Source organism: Homo sapiens, chromosome 18 (assembly GCF_000001405.40).
Source record: "Homo sapiens chromosome 18, GRCh38.p14 Primary Assembly".
NCBI classification, from domain to species: domain Eukaryota; kingdom Metazoa; phylum Chordata; class Mammalia; order Primates; family Hominidae; genus Homo; species Homo sapiens.
This window is the reverse complement of record NC_000018.10, coordinates 67,818,729-67,835,249: the sequence shown is the minus strand read 5'-3', so window position 1 is coordinate 67,835,249 and position 16,521 is coordinate 67,818,729. Positions and strand designations below refer to the sequence as shown.

The following is a 16,521-nucleotide window of genomic DNA, read 5'->3' as shown; positions in this document are numbered from 1 at the left end:
TAAATAAGCTAACTACTGTGATTTGTTCATTACACAAGACATAATTGTATCAAAACATAAGGCTATATTCCATAAATAAGCACAATGATTATGTGTCAATTAAAAACAAAACAAACTTTTTAAAAAGTGAATAAGGAGTTAAACTTTCCCACCTATATGAAGAAGGTACTTGAAAGTTGAGAGATAAATTGTATAATATTGTAACGGTTGTATAGTTTAATGATATAATATTAAAAATTACTACTTTAATTAATCAATTAATCAATTACTTTGTAAGGAGGAAGGAAAGTAATCTGAAAGTGGCAATGAAGACAAGAGAGGTATGTACCATACCCTCAGTCAAAGAGGATGAAGTTTTTGGTAGATACTCAACACTCAACACCCAACAACACCTTGAATGATATAGGTTAAGTCTATCATCATTAAAGAGCCAAGCTTCACTTGGATCAGAAAGCAGAAGAGAACATCAGAGATAACTTTTAAAATACAGAGGATTTCTGAATTTCAAAGGATATAGAGAAAGGATTTCAGAATTTGGAGACTGGTCAAAAAGATGTACAAAACCTTATGTGATTGGAGATTGAGACATGAAAACTGACCTTGGAAACAGAGCTCAGAGACCTTGTCTGATTTGTCCTGCTTGTCTCCAGGCAAAAGCAGCTGAGGAGATGGCTGAACATATTGGCTGAACATTGGCGGAGAGGAGTGGCCAAGTTGGGACATCCCCAGGAGCATGCAGAAGAATGTGAGCAATCTTACCTGGAGCACCTGGTTCCCTGAGGTTGCTCCCAATTCTCAGAGCTCAAGGAGTTCCAAGGATTTCTCTTTGCACTGCAATTAGGGAATGGAGGATATAGTTGGCATGACATTTTTGTCATCAACATAAGGAAATACATGACTCTCTCTTTCCTCCTGCCAAATATCAGTGGTCTTATTTGGAGCCTGCAGAGCCTCCTGCTCCCTCTGGAATTCCAAAGCACTTGATTTCTGATTTCTTCCTTATATTTGGGGCACAAGAGCTGGGGACACCTTTTAGTGAATGCCAGTGAAGACTCAAAATATCTATTTAATTTGGCAGCATCCGGATTTTTTGCTTATAATTATAATATTTTTATGGTGCCTGTTTGTGTGTCCAGTGTGGTCCCTTTATATCCACTTGATCTGAAACATGATGAGCTCTTAGAATCTGCTAGATGTAGATACTGAATGTTCACTTTTATATATTTTATAAACTTTAAATATTTTTAAACTTAAAAATGATTTATTTTTCACTTTTCCCTTCCAAAACATATTTGTTTCTTTGGGAACATAATGAATTTTCCTATTTCAGATGTATATTGTCTTCTCCATCTCCTCTCTGTGTACTGCTCTTTTCCTTGTACATAACCAGAGAGAGCTTTCCAAGTGTGTCCTCTGCTCCACTGATTCTGTAATATTGATTCAGCATTCACTATTTCCAATACATATTTGATTTCATGAATGATTTTTTTGTTTATTCGAAACCATTTAAATCATTCCTCAACTTAGAGCTCACTTTGCTATCTTTTCAGTTTACACTGTGTCCTTTTAACCCAAATTATTTGTTCCTCTGTGTTTCAGAGAAGCATATAGCATTTTATAGAAGCTTCCAAATGATTCACTGAATTTATGTGTGGATCCTGCCTTGGATAATTTTCAGAAAATGTGCTGCCTTTGGATGTCATTCTCTTTGTCTTTACACAATGCTTTTTCCTTAAAGCCTATTATTTTCTCTAATGAAACATCATCTATACAAAATTGTTATTTATATTTTCTGTGTACCTCATTTTCATCTCGTTGTAGGTGCCCCTACTAAGATATGTCCGGAGCAGATCGGTATACAGCTCCCACTTCCAATGGCTTCACTCATAGGAGGACTTCTCTCTGCACTGGTAGAATTGCTGTCTTTGAATTGATTTAACAAATTAATTACATAGTTGAACAGTTGAACATGTTGGAAGGATAAATGTGTAATAATTTCACTGTCATTGTAAATAACATCTGCTCATTTAGGGAACTGAGAAGAAAAAAATGCCTTCTCCTATTTCTCCTCCACCTTCAGAACCTCCTTCCTCTTTTTTCTAAAGCTCTGCTTCAAAAGAGATGTGATATCTAGAAAGACTACAAGTCAGGTGGAGTGTTTTCTTTTTCCATTTATCTGTCCTATTGTTGGGGAATGTGCTATAACGTATTGGTTAATAACATATGCTTTGGACTTCTATCACAGTTTTGGGTTTTTTCCCAGGTTTCACTGACTAGCTATAGACATTGATTATATAACCCAGTCTATCTAAGCCTCAGATTTTAAATCTATAACACTAGAGGGTTTTTTTCATCATATAGGTATATGAAAATAAAATGAGATAAATTATGAAAATTATTCAGCCAAGAGCCTGGATTACAGTAAGTTCTTCATAATTTTTTAACATAATTAAATTACATAATAATTATTTTATTGCTTTGAAAATCCTGGACTTGAATTTTGTCTCTCTCCTTTTTAAATCTTCTTATATTTTAATTTGTTATTACAGGTATTTGGCAGAAATAAACCAATGCATAAATAATACTTTTTTAATTCAAATTATCACAAAGCCACAAAATGCTAAAATAAATTTTTGCAGAAATATGTGACATGGAAAAATTTTTCACTGTATATTTTGCCTTCAAAGAATTAATATATCAAAATATACACTGCATAAAAAGGACTAGAAGTCAGTGCAATGTCTAAATATCTATTATGCTATTTCTATTCATATTAGTGAAATTATATGTAGTATATAAATTAAAATTACATGCCAATAGAAAGTACTCATTTACATATACAAATTTGTAGCATTTCTGTGACCAGATGAACAGAATATTTTATAAATATCTCTTTTTCTCTTCATGTTCCAAGACTTATGACTAATCACTTTTACTCAAGTCAATGACCACCATCAGTCACCTGGTTTCTTCCTATGTCTCTGATTACTTCCTTTATCTCTTTTCAAGATTCCCATTCTCAGCATGCCAAATAAATGCGAACATTTACAAAGTTTGGCTTTGGTTCTCATTCTATGTCTCTCCTGGGGCTACCATTTCATCCCATAGTTTAAATAACTATCTGCATGCTGAAGACTACTTAATTCCTAGCCAATGGCAATATTGCTCTGCTAAGTGTCAAATTTTCCCACCAATAACCCAAATGGAATAATGATAATAATCTCATAATTGACAAGTCCTACTTTGAATTCTTCATCTCATCACTATGGAACTGAAGGTCTTGGATACATACCAAGAGATCAAATGGACACTTTGAGAACACTGTGCAAATGAGCAAGTTGCAAAACCTCATCAAGTACAGCAAGATGGTCAGGTGTAGAGAACAGTTTGTCTGCCCAGTAATACTATTCAAGGGCCAGAAAATTTGGCAAGTCAGCCTCTGGCTGAATGGAGGCAGCTGCATGAATCCACTGGCTACAGCTGTATTTTTCAGAGGGTGCCTGTGCTGCCTGGACAGATGCAGGGGACTTCACAGAAGAGGAATATGCTCTCTGAAGTGTCCATACACAACTATTTCAGGAAGTTAGAGGCTGTGACATCAAGCTGCTTCAATACCTATCAGTCAAATACATCTCTGACCTGATGGTAGAGAATAAGAAAGTAAAGCTTGGCTTGAATGTGACCTCCTCTGAGAAGGTGGACAAAGCCCAGTGCTGTGCCACCTTCACTCTGCTCTGCATCCTGTGTTTGGGCGGTGAATTTTGCAAGGAATATAAGGATTGAATTACATGGCTGAAAGGCAAATTTTTAACTGGAAGCAGGATTATGTCAAGGTCCCATTGAGCACACCTGACTCATAGACTCACTCTCTGAACATTAACTGGAGCCAGTATCAGTGGTGGGACCTGCTGCATCAAACACAAAACTACCCCAAACTGCTGATTTCCGTAGTTAACAGCAACTATGAGAGCAAACTGCTGGTATATCAGTCTGGGATCACATCCCTCTTTTCTACACCTTTCTTTGTGGGCTGATGGGCTCATCCACACATCCCTAAAGCCTGCTGAGATCCTTCACCTACCCACAGCCTGTTCCTAGTTCCTCTTTGGGCACTTGATGGTAGATTGGGTAAGCAAAGGATGGGAGATTTTTTCCGCTTGAGTTTTTGAAGCATATCATTTCCTAGGAGTTCTCTGCCCTGAAGACACACAGGTGAGAGTTTGTCAGGCTGGGATGCAGGCTTCACCGTGGAGGATATCTGTATGCTGAGATGAAGGGATCCCAGCCTTGGCAGGGACTTTTCTCCCTGGTCATGGAGAGCCCTCAGTCGTCATTGAGAGCTTCACCTATGAGGTTGTGGAGCTATTCCTAGAAGGATCACAGACTCAGGCAGCTTGGAGAAGAGTCACTTGTCCTCTCCACAAAGTATACTCTGGAATTGACTGCAGCCCTCGGAGCATGACCTGCCTTCTCAACAGATGCTGGAAAAAGCCAGAGTCTTCAAGCTCCTCATTTTCAGCCATTGCAACAACTTTTTCAGAATGGGTAGTGGCCCCCTGGAAGTCTCCAAACCCAGACTTGCAGCCCTGAATTATGGGGCGGCTCAGCTGCAAGAGTGCACTGAGCTTTATTGGCCACATACAGCAGCACAGCTCCCTGTCCCTCTGATGCCATTGGGACCTGCTGGAGCAGTTTTCCTGCGGTGTTGACTTCAGGGCACCACCAGCAGCACCTGGTGAAGCAGCTAGTCCAAGATAGTTTTCTGCTCCTTGCTCAAATAAGCCCTGAACTGACTGAAAGCCATGCCTAGCCAAGGGTTATTTCAAGGTCAGGAGAAATCGCTTCAATCCTCCTTCTCCATCATATATCTGGCAGCCCCCAAACTGATCAGGACCAAGGACAGGATGGCCCAACCCACAGCCTCCTGCTGGTAATGGCAGTCCCCTTTGGTCACTGCCTCCCACCCACCCCAATCTTTGCCAGGATTCCCCAACTCTCCAAATTGTGTGAGGTTTCCCGTGGCCCGGTGGAGGGCATGACTTCACGAAAGATACTTTTCAGCACTAAGTGAAACAACCTATCAACCCAGGAAAAGACATGGCAGAATTTTGAGTGCATATTGCTAACTGAAGTAAGCCTATATGAAAAGGCTATAGACTGTACGATTCCAACTACGTGAGATTCTGAAAAGGGTAAAATTATTGAGACAGTAAAAAGATCAGTGGTTGCCAGAAGCTGAAGGGGGAAAGGCAAAGGGAGAATGAACAGGCCCAGCACAGAGGATTTTTAAGGCAGTGAAACTATTCAGTATGACACTATAATAGTGGCTATCATTATACATTTGTCTAACGCCATGGCATTATAACACCCTAAGGTGACCTATGAACTTTGAGTCCTTTTGATGTGAACTGATGAACCCTAAGGTAAACTATGAACTTTGGGTCCTTTTTATGTGCTAATGTAGGTTCATCAATTATAACAAATGAATCATTCTAGTGAGAAGATGTTGATACTAGGAAAGGCTGATACTGTATATGGGGCAAGGAGTACATGGGAGATCTCTATAACCATTACCTCAATTTTTGGTGAACCTAAAATTACTTTAAAAGGAAAAGTCTATAAAAAATGCAATATATTTCCATCAATATGGAAAAGAAATGGACAATGTGTAACAAAAATGACAGAAGTATTTAGCATCCTTCCCAGGAATATCACCTCTCAGAATCGAAGAGATACTTCATCATCAAATGTATGAAGTAGATATGCATGATTTTATTTCTAATGTGATATTAATTTCAATAGGAAAAAATATGGAAACAAGCTGAGTGCCTTATTATAGAGGACTGGCTGTATAAACTAGGGTACTTACACAGTTGAAGTATTATGGAGACGTTAAAAAGAAATGAATGATGATCTCTATATATCAGTATCTAGAGATCTTCAGGATAAATTGCTAATGAGAAAAACAAGGTGCTGGATAGTGGACCTTGTTTGCTTTTTGTGTAAAAATGTGTGGAGAAAGTAAGCGTCTCTTTGTACATCTGTATTTGCAGAAGTAAGCGAAGAATTAATAAAGATAATACCTATATGGTGTTGGGGAAAATGGAGTGAGGAAGGAGAAGACTTAAGAGGATACACCATGGCCAAAGTTTTTATAAAGACTGAAGTATATTTCTAAAACACTGATTTAAAGAAATAAAATATAAAAGATATAGGTATAGTCTTATGAGTTTACTTGACTGAAGACAGAAGCTTGTTTTGTTCATTAACATAAAGCCTATAAGTTTATACTGAGGTCGAAAAAGAGACTCTTAGAAGAGGCTTTGTCGCCATTTGAGGTGGCCATTAAAAAACTTCTAAATTGAGAATTAAAAGGAAAATTAAAGCTTTTACCTTGTCTTTTCAGAGAACTACATTTCAATATAACCAAATAGCTCTAGATGATGAGGAAAAGTTTTGTTTTGTAGAAGATGGCTAGTTAGTGAGTATTGAAAGAATGACAGAATTAGAGTGTAATCATTTCACAAATGCTACACTAAAGAATTTATTTCCAACTAGTGTCAAAATAATTATGTGAATGATTGATGGAGGAATGGACATTATTGTGTGAAAGCCATGACTGTCAAATGGAGGACTCAGAATGTCATAATCTTGATTAAATGATCAACCTGAGCATTTTAGCTGGTGGGCCTATGATAATATGCATTTTCTATTGGTTTTATAAAATATTATCATCAGTCAAATCCAGATTCAGGTAGAATGCTTCAAGGAAATAGGAAATTATCTCTCCAATTTTCACTTCATCTAATTAAAGTGATAATTGGCTAAGTGGATTGTCATTATTAAGATGATACTTAATAGCACCACTCTCCCCAACAATTACCTTTTATTTTACTAATATCACATATAATTATTATTATTCTACAGCTTGTTTCATATAATTTGTGTAAATCAAATTAAACACAGGTTATGGGGTGGTTGTGATCTCATTGAAACAAATATATTGACTCACTATAAAAGAAACCGCACATTCAATGACAAAAATTCATGAGAAGAAAGATCATAAAAAGTCAATGTAGAAGGGTAGTTTGTCTTCTTTTATGATTCACTGAAAAGATGAAGTGCAAAATGTAGTCTCTAAAGTTTATGTCATTACTTCTCTTTATCTACTCTCCTTTCTTTTGAAAGTCGACATGACATGTTCATATTTAGAAATCATCAACTTTGTGTTGGTAGAGTTCTCGCAAGGTGTAAAAAACTAAAAGTGCTCTCTGTAATAGCAATGAGATGGAAAATCTGCTTAAATCAAGCCATTCTTACTATTTTTTCTAAATTGACATATTAGTGACTTACTGTAACCCATCCTTGACTCTACACCAAAATACTTTTTACCTTTAAAGAGAGAAACTTGTTATATAAACACATTGCTAATAATTCAAAAAGACAAATACAGGATAAACTTTTTTTTTCTTTTTTCTTTTTTTGAGAGGGAGTCTCACTCTGTCGCCCAGGCTGGAGTGCAGTGGCGTGATCTCGACTCACTGCAAGCTCCGCCTCCCAGGTTCACGCCATTCTCCTGCCTCAGCCTCTCGAGTAGCTGGGACTACAGGCACCTGCCACCACGCCCGGCTAATTTTTTGTATTTTTAGTAGAGACAGGGTTTCACTGTGTTAGCCAGGATGGTCTCGATCTCCTAACCTCGTGATCCGCCCGCCTTCGCCTCCCAAAGTGCTGGGATTACAGGCGTGAGCCACCGCGCCCAGCCCAGAATAAACTTTTAATAACATCATCAATTGTGTGTATTTGAGTTATTTTTAGTAAAATACAATGTGAGACATAGTATTTGTTCAAACCTAACTGCATAAAATATGTAAGTATAGTCTTTTGGGATTGTGCAACTCATATGATGGGCTTGTCTTATTCACATACATGAAACCTGTAAGGTACAGAATTAATCCCTAAGGCATGTTAATGTGCTTCTTTGACAATTCTTATTAACTATTACAAGATATTTAAATTGCAGATACCCTGCTGAGTGAATATTCAAAATGCACTTGACAGCCCTGCACCAGAATACCAGATGCTCCTTAATAGAACATTACTATGTTTTATTTCATGATTTATAAAAGGTTGGTTTTATTCCATAGTGCCCTGGCTTCAGAGAGAGAAAGGAGAGAGAAGAAAAGAAGGAAAGAAGGAAGGAAAGGAGAAAAAAGGAGGGAAGGAAGGAAAGAAGGAAGGAAGGAAGAGAAGAAGTTAGTTCTTACATTTCAAGGGCTAATCATATGTCAGACATATTTGCATTCTTCTTCTCACTAACTGTTATTTGAACAAAAATCATGATTTTTTATCTCATCTTTTCTCCTAGCCACGGCCTTAACATATCTATTCCTGTGGTCCACTCTGCTCTTCAATGTGGAAAGTTCTGGTTTTTCAGAATTTGCATTACACCATTAAAATTATTTTAAGTTGCTAGAAATTATTTTTGTTTTTATTTTAATTAGTTTTAATATTAATTCATGAGGGTCTTTGCCTTCTGTATTAGTCCATTGAAGAAATGCCTGAGACTGGTAATTTATATGCTGCTATGCAGAAATACCCAAGACTGGTAATTTATAAAAGAAAGAGGTTGAATTGACTCACAGCTCTGCAAGGCTGAGGAAGTCTCAGGAAACTTACAATCATGGCAGAAGGGGAAGCAAATAGAACCTTCTTCATATGGCAGCAGCAAGGAGAAGCATCAGAGCAGAGTGAAGGCGGAAGCCCTTTCTAAAATCTTCAGATCTCATGAGAACTTACTCACTATCAGGAGAATAGCATGGGGGAAACTGCCCCCATGATTCAGTTGCCTCCCACGGGGTCCCTCCCACCACATGTGGGGATTATGGGAACTACAATTCAAGATGAGATTTGGGTGGGGACACAGCCAAATCATATCACCTTCAGTCTTTCAAAATAACTGGTACTTCTTTTTGTTTGGCCAAGATTGTTGAATCCTTCTTCATTTGGAATGGGGACTCTACAGCTTTTCAACACAATGTACCTCTTTTGCTAATAACTAAATTTTGTGTTAAAATCTATACAATGTAAAATATTCCTCTGAACCATTATAAAATATATAATTCAGTGGCATTGGCCACACTCACAACGTTTATCCATTCATCTGTTGATGGACACTTGGGTTGTGTCCACCGATTGCCTGTTGTGAATAATGCGGCCGTAAATTTTGGCATAAAAGTATCCAGTTTCTGTTTTCAATTATATAGGATACGTACCTAGGCATCGACTTTGCTGGATCACAGGATAATTCTATGTTTAGCTTTTTGAGGAATTATCAAACTGTTTGCACGATGGGTGCATCATGTCACATTTTCACTAGCAGTGTATGAAGGTACCAGTTTCTCCATGTCATCACTGTTTGCTATTTTCTGCCGTTTTTATTATAGCCATCCTAGTAGATGTGAAGTTGTATTGCACTGTGGTTATGATTCGCATTATCCTAATGTCGAGTATCTTTTCACGTGCTTCTTGGCCATTTGTATATCTTCTTTGATAAATGTCAATTCAAATCTTTGTCTATTTTCATTTTTTGTCTGTTTTTGAATTTTAGCAATTATTATTATACTCTGGATATTAAACCACTATCAGATATATAATTTGCAAATATTTTCTCCTATTCCATAAGTTGTGGTTTTACATTCTTGATAATGTCCTTTTATATATAAATGTTTTAAATATTGGCTATTTATTTCTTTTTCTGTTTCTTATACTTTTGGTGTCAGTTTTAAGAATCCATTACAAAATCCAGTTTCGTGAAGATATAAGTCTACGTTATTTTCTGAGAGTTATAAGGATTTAGCACTTATATTTAGTATTGATCCATTTTGTGTTAATTTTTGTATATGATGTGTAACAGGGTTCCAACTTCATACTTTTATGAAAATCCAGTTGCCCCAGCACCATTTATTGAAGACATGTTTGCTTTCCTCATCGGAAGGACTTGTCACCCTTATCAAAAGTCAATTGGCCATTAACATACACGTTTGCTTCTTGACTTTCAATTCTATTCATTGGTTTATCTGTCTATCTTTATGCCAGTTCCACATTGTTTTAATTATTGTTACTTGGTAGTAAGTTTTGAAATTGGGAAGAATGAGTCATCTAAATCTGTTCATTTTCATAATCGTTTTGATGATTGAGGCACCTTAAAAAGTCCATGCGAATGTGAACTCAATTTTTTCCAGTCCTACACAAAATAAAAATTATTGGAATTTTGGTAGAGATGGCATTGAACGTGCAAATCACTTCACTTTAGGTAGTATTGATATCTTAACAATGTTGTCTTCCTAAACATAAACTCAAGATGTCTTCTTTTTCAAGTCTTTTAAAAATTATTCTCAGCAATGTTTTGTAGTGTTTACCATGCAAGTCTTCTATCTCCCTGGTTAAATGTATATATTGACATTTAATTCTTTAAGATGCTACTGTAAATGAAATTGCTTTCATTTCTTGTTTTGATTATTTATTGCAAATGTATATAAATAAAACTGTTTTTCGCATGCTGCTCTTACACCCTGAAATTTTGCTTAAATCATTTATTATGACTAGTAACTACTTATAGAATCTTTAGGGTTCTATGTATAGAATCATGTCATCAATTAATACAATTTCACTTCTTCATTTTAAATTCAGATGCCTTTTCTTTTTCTTGTCTAAATACTGACTAGAAATTGCGGTTCAATGTTGAATAGCAATAGTAAAAGTAGACAACCTTCTGTGTTTTATCTTGAAAGAAAGCTTTCAGTCTTTCACCATTCAATGTATAATGTTAGCTATTTTTATAGACGTTTTTTATTATGCTGATTAATCTCCCTTATGTTCTTAGTTTTCTGAGTGCTTTTACCATGAAATGACATTGGATTTTGTCAAATGACTTGTATGTGTCAATTCATATAAACATTTGGGTTTTTCAATTTGCTTTATTAATGTGGTACTAATTGATTTATTTTTATGTTTAACTACCCCTACATTTCTGAGATAAATCCCACTTATTATGGTCAATAATTCTACTATTATACTGTAGGATTCAGGCTAGTAGTATTTTTTTAAGGATTTTCACATCTATATTTATGAGAGATGTTGGTCTGTAATTGTGTGTGTGTGTGTGTGTGTGTGTGTGTGTGTGTGTGTGTCTGTGTGATGTCTTCATCTGGTTTTAGTATCAAGACAATTTTGGCCTGATAGAATCAGTTTATAAGTGTTCCCTTCTCTTGTACTTTTTGGAAGAGCTTGAAAAGGATTTGTGTATATTTTTCTTCAAATATTTAAATATTCTTTAAATATATGTGTTAAGTATTACTTACATATCAAATATTAGCATTCACCAGTGTTTCTATCTGGTCCTGAACTTTTTTGTCGTTGGGAGGTTTTAGATTACTGATTTAATCTATTTACTTTGTTATAACTCTATTTAAACTTTCTATAGTTTCTTGTGTAAGTTGAGGACATTTTTGTGATTGGGAAATCTATCCATATCATGTAGGTTATATAATTTCTTAGAACAAAATCCCTTATAGTATGCTGTTATAATCATCTTTATTTTTGTCAGGTCAGTGGTAATGTCATAATGTCTCCACTTTTATTTGTGGTTTTAGCTATTTGTATATTCTTTCTCTGCGAGTTTAGCTAACAGTTTGTCAAACTAGTTTTTCTCAAGAAATGGTCTTTGCAAATGAGTTATGAAACAAATAAAAGAATTGGGGGAACTTTAAATGCATATTGTTAATGAAAGAAGCCAATGTTAAAAGGGTACACACTGTAGGATTCCAACTGTATAACATTCTGCAAGAAATAAAACTGTAGAGGCAACAAAAAGATCAGTGGCTAAAAAGTATTTGGTTGGGGGAGAGATGAATAAGCGCAGCACAGGATATTTGCAAGGCGTGAATTTGTTCCGTATAACACTGTAATGGTGGATACATGTCATACATCAGAACTCATAGAATAAATACAAGGGGTGAGCCCTAATTGAAACTGTGGACTTTGCTTAATAACAATTTATCAGTATTGGCTCACCAATCCTAACATTTTTGACATACTAATGCAATACATTAATAATATGAGAAATTTGCCTGAGGAAAGGGTATATTTGGGAACACTCTGTATTTCATGCTCAATTTTTCTGTAAATCTAAGACTGCTCTAAGAAATAGTCTATCTATTAAAATAAAAAGGCACCATTTACTTTTAATCTCAAAATTAAAAAAAAGAAATAAGGCAGTTTAAGGACCTAAGAAAAATATTTATTAAATGCTTAATAAGTGGTATATGATTAAAACTTTTGGCCTGGCTGCAAACAGACCAACTTTCCAATGAGCTTTAGAACATAAGGTTTCCTCTTTTATAAGCATATCATTTTGGTAGTTAGTATTTCATCTGTGGTTTGACCAAGGGAATAATTTAAGTTTAGAGGATTAGCCACCCTTAATATTGCAATTGCTACCCCCACAGTAATCTCAGATACAAATAAAAATGACATTAAAAAAAGTTTAGGTATGTGTACTATTGACATTTTTGTCAATCCTTTGTATTTTGTGAATAATAATATAATAAAATCTTTAGATTTCACTTATTTATTTAATTTATTCATAACACACAATCTAAGTAAACAACAACAACAAAAATCTGAATGTGTAGACCCTGCATCCATTTCTTCAGGCTCACACCTGAAGGGATCACATGTACTGAGCACAGTGGAGGGTGCTGGGTCCGGCTATGCTGGCGGGACACTGGGGACCCTGTTTCAGCACAACGGTAAACTCATGGTGACTCTCTAATGTTGGAATTAGACTTGCTGGATGTTCTGCCCTAGCCATATCTTTCCCACCACATTGGCATCCACCCACAATCAGTCCAACCTAGGTGGTTCTGGAATTAATTCAGGAGCCTCTTTCAAGAAAACAAACAAACAAACAAACAAACAAAAAACTGTACTTGTGGTCACTTTTACATGCCAATTCTTGTATAACTTATAGTTTTCTTCAACAACACTGATGCTAATGACAAAGAAGCTAGGATTTGTGAGGGCTTATGAAGAGACAATCATTATGTTAAACATTTTGCAGATGTCACCATCTTTATCTTTACACTTTTACATGAAAAAGACACTATAGAATCAAGGTTTATTTTACCTATTTGGGGGTAGGAGAGTGGGGCAGACTCTACAGAGAGACTGAATAACCAGGCTAAGGGAAAATAGTAGGAAGATAATTTGAAACAAGATCTGTCTCACTTTAAAATGTGAACTCTATTTCATGCCATCCTAAGAAAAACAATCACTGCCTATAAAGAAGGTCTAACAGACTGACCTGAGAATAGTGATACTGGCTGCTCTGGGAATTTTCATTATTTCCTTATATGATACTAGCAATTGTGTAGAAAGCTGGAAAAGAATAGTAGCACTAATTGAAGCCAAATTGAGCTGCAGACCTACGGATCAATACACAGTTTAAGTATTTAAAGGCAATTACTTAGAATAATGAATCTTCTTTAAAAATCGATTGAAAGCAGTTACACACTCACACATATTTACACAATTGATTACCAGCAAATGCCATCCAAAAATTATTGAAGAGATTAAAGAGAAGTCAAAGTTTCTATTTATGACAATTACAAATTTTATTACTCCCAAATAGAGAGTAAAAACCTGCAAAGAAAATACACTGGATTATGAAACTCAGTTCCTGACAGATAGAATGATGGATTCCTGAGGTTAGGCTTCCACAGGCTGAAATGAATGTGAAGACCTGCATGGTACTAATACCGTGCTTCCTGACTAGAAATGAGAGAAAGGTCGTTCTATATTTGACCTTCCTGTTTACAGAAAATTAGAGTCACAATGAATTAAACATTAGACTGTTTTGCATTTTTATCTCATGTTTATCTCATGTTTATAGCTACAGCATTCTCAATGTCAAATTATTTTGGTAGCTGCATTCGGTGTAGATTTTGTCTTTTGTTTATTCATTTCTAAATAGAGTGTATCACAGATATACACCCAAATTCCAATAGTCCAGTTGTTTACAAATGTATTAAAAATAGCTCACTCTAGAATTATATACTATAATCCAGATAAGCCTCACAAGCATTATCCTCAATGAATGGACTCGTAAGACTGTGAAACATAGATGTTGTTTTGAAAATGCATGGATTGAAAAAATTAATAAAATAGAGAAATTCCATCAAGGAAAAGCTTTGCAGTCACTGTGTGCAGTAAATAGGAATATAAAGAAAACATCTCTAGTTTATCCATCAAAGTATCCCTCTTAAGCAAGTTTTAAACTGAATCGATCATGAACCAATAAATGACAATAATTATTTCCACTCCCATTCTTATGCCATGGTTGAAATGAGACACATTCCCTACCACTCAAAGTATCTTCTCTTTCCATATTTATTTAAAGACCACATATATTAATTAGAAATATAAATACGGGGTTAGAGGACTGTGTACAATCTCAATGAAACCTGAGATTTGTAGATGCTTCAAAAAATAACATTAGAAGTTGGTTAGATTGAGGAAAAGACCAAATGCATTCCTGCTGGGTGCATGGTTCTTATGTTGCCAAAGGGCAGTTAGTGGCCCTGATAGCACTGATGTTGTATCAAGGAATATAGTGTGTGGATGTGAAACCTTGCAGTTTATCCTAGTATTTTCAGAGACTCAAGACGTCAGGAAAGGCAGAATTCCAGAAGAGCAACCCGAAGGAGCAGCAACTGGGTCTTAGAATTTGAATGGAGATTGTACTTATTCCCCCACTAGCTGATTTGAAAGGAAGGATATTCCAGCTCTCTTAAATGAGGCAACAATATGCCTCATTCCATGTGTTTTCTAAAGTTTTGATCTCAATAGTTTTGTCATGTTGAAATAATTATTAAACAGAACTGATGTTTTGGAAGAAACTGTCAAAATAGAGACTAATGTATGAAGAGACAAAATTTATGAGAAAAAGTGTAATGGAAATGAAGAACGAGGGGAAGAGGTCAACTCTTTCAGTATTATGTAAGCCTTCAAAGTGAATACAGCAAAAAATAAATAAATAAAAGCATATAAGACTAACTACCTGGCCATAAAGTAACTGTGATCTACAGATCAAGCAACCTCGCCCAAGTTTTGAAAAATTAATTTAAAATTAAATTTGAAAATAGTTACATACACAGATGAAAGCCCTGATAACATATGACATATTTGTAATTCCAAGAAATCCATACAACATTTAAGTATGAATTCAGATTGCTTTTAAAAAGTAGTAAAATTAGACGTGTCTGTGATTTTTTCCTTTGTAATTCTGAACAGAGAGATAAGGGAACGACGTCCTCCGATCCTTAGGAAGGTAGGCTGAGACCCAAGAATTCTACATCCAGCCAATTTGCTGTTTTTATGTAAATGTTACTGAACTGTATTCCATGTATGCATATACTCAGAAATTGTGCAATAATGGCTCATAAAATATTGGATATGCGCTCAGTTCAGAGAAGGATAGAAGTATTTTAGATCAGAATCTTAACATTTCTGTGGTTTCCTTCCAGATATTTTTTGTTCTTTCATTTAAAAAATATTAAATAATGCCCATAGTTCATTCACATTTTCTTCATTTTTACCTAATGGTTTTGTTTTTGCTTTTTGTTTTCTGATCCAGGATCCCATCCATGATATTGCATTACATTTAGTCATTTTTGTCTTCCTAGGTGCATGTCGACCATGATCTTTTCTAAGACTTTCCTTGTTTTTAATAATCTTGACAATTTTGAGCCAGTATATTGTAGGATGTGTCTGTATTGAAATTTGCCTGATGTTTTTCTCCTGATTAGACTGGGTGATAGATTTGGGGTTCCATGAGTTTTGAAATGCAATACTCCTATGTTTATTGATGTATTTCTTGAATAATATAATTTTGTTTCCCTTTAGCCCAATTATGATGAAAGAGACTGTTCAGTCAGGATACACTAGTAACAATGCCAAATTGTAATATGCTAAGACAACAACTATTCATTTTTAAACACATTATTTGTGTCTCACTGGTTGACTGGGGATTTTCCCCCACATAATATTTTGGGGACTAATCTATTCTGTTATCAGGCTAATGCAAGCATATTTCTGGCATACAACACAAAGAAAAGAGAGGGCAGGGGAAATCATACCCCTTAAATCCCAGAGCCTAGTCTTACTGTAAGGGGTAGAATAGTATAATCATCACCAAGAAAGAAAAATGGGTATTGCTAAACAGTAATAAAATCTACCACATGGATGTTTTAATTATTTTCATCATTCATGTGTAAGAAAGATATGTAATGCCATAATAAAAGCAAATTAATGGAAAATTAGAAGAAAACAATTACCATAAAATCAGAATACTTTTCGAAACAGAAAAAATATAAATTAGAATACATCAAAGAGTTAGATTAAAAGAAAAATACTCAACAGATCTACAACAGATATATTTAAGCAAGAAAAAAATGCCAA

General features: G+C 35.4%; 1 long non-coding RNA gene and 1 pseudogene across 1 annotated transcript in view; one reads left to right on the top strand and one right to left on the bottom strand.

Annotated features, from left to right (window-relative positions):
- DSEL-AS1 (DSEL antisense RNA 1) overlaps positions 1-16,521 on the bottom strand; it is a 383,074-nt gene that overhangs the window by 64,370 nt on the left and 302,183 nt on the right. Inside the window, exon 2 of the long non-coding RNA NR_033921.1 lies at positions 760-831. This is a non-coding gene — a long non-coding RNA (DSEL antisense RNA 1). The remainder of the gene's footprint in view (positions 1-759; positions 832-16,521) is intronic.
- Positions 3,307-4,752, top strand: LOC100131011 (myotubularin related protein 14 pseudogene; annotated as a pseudogene).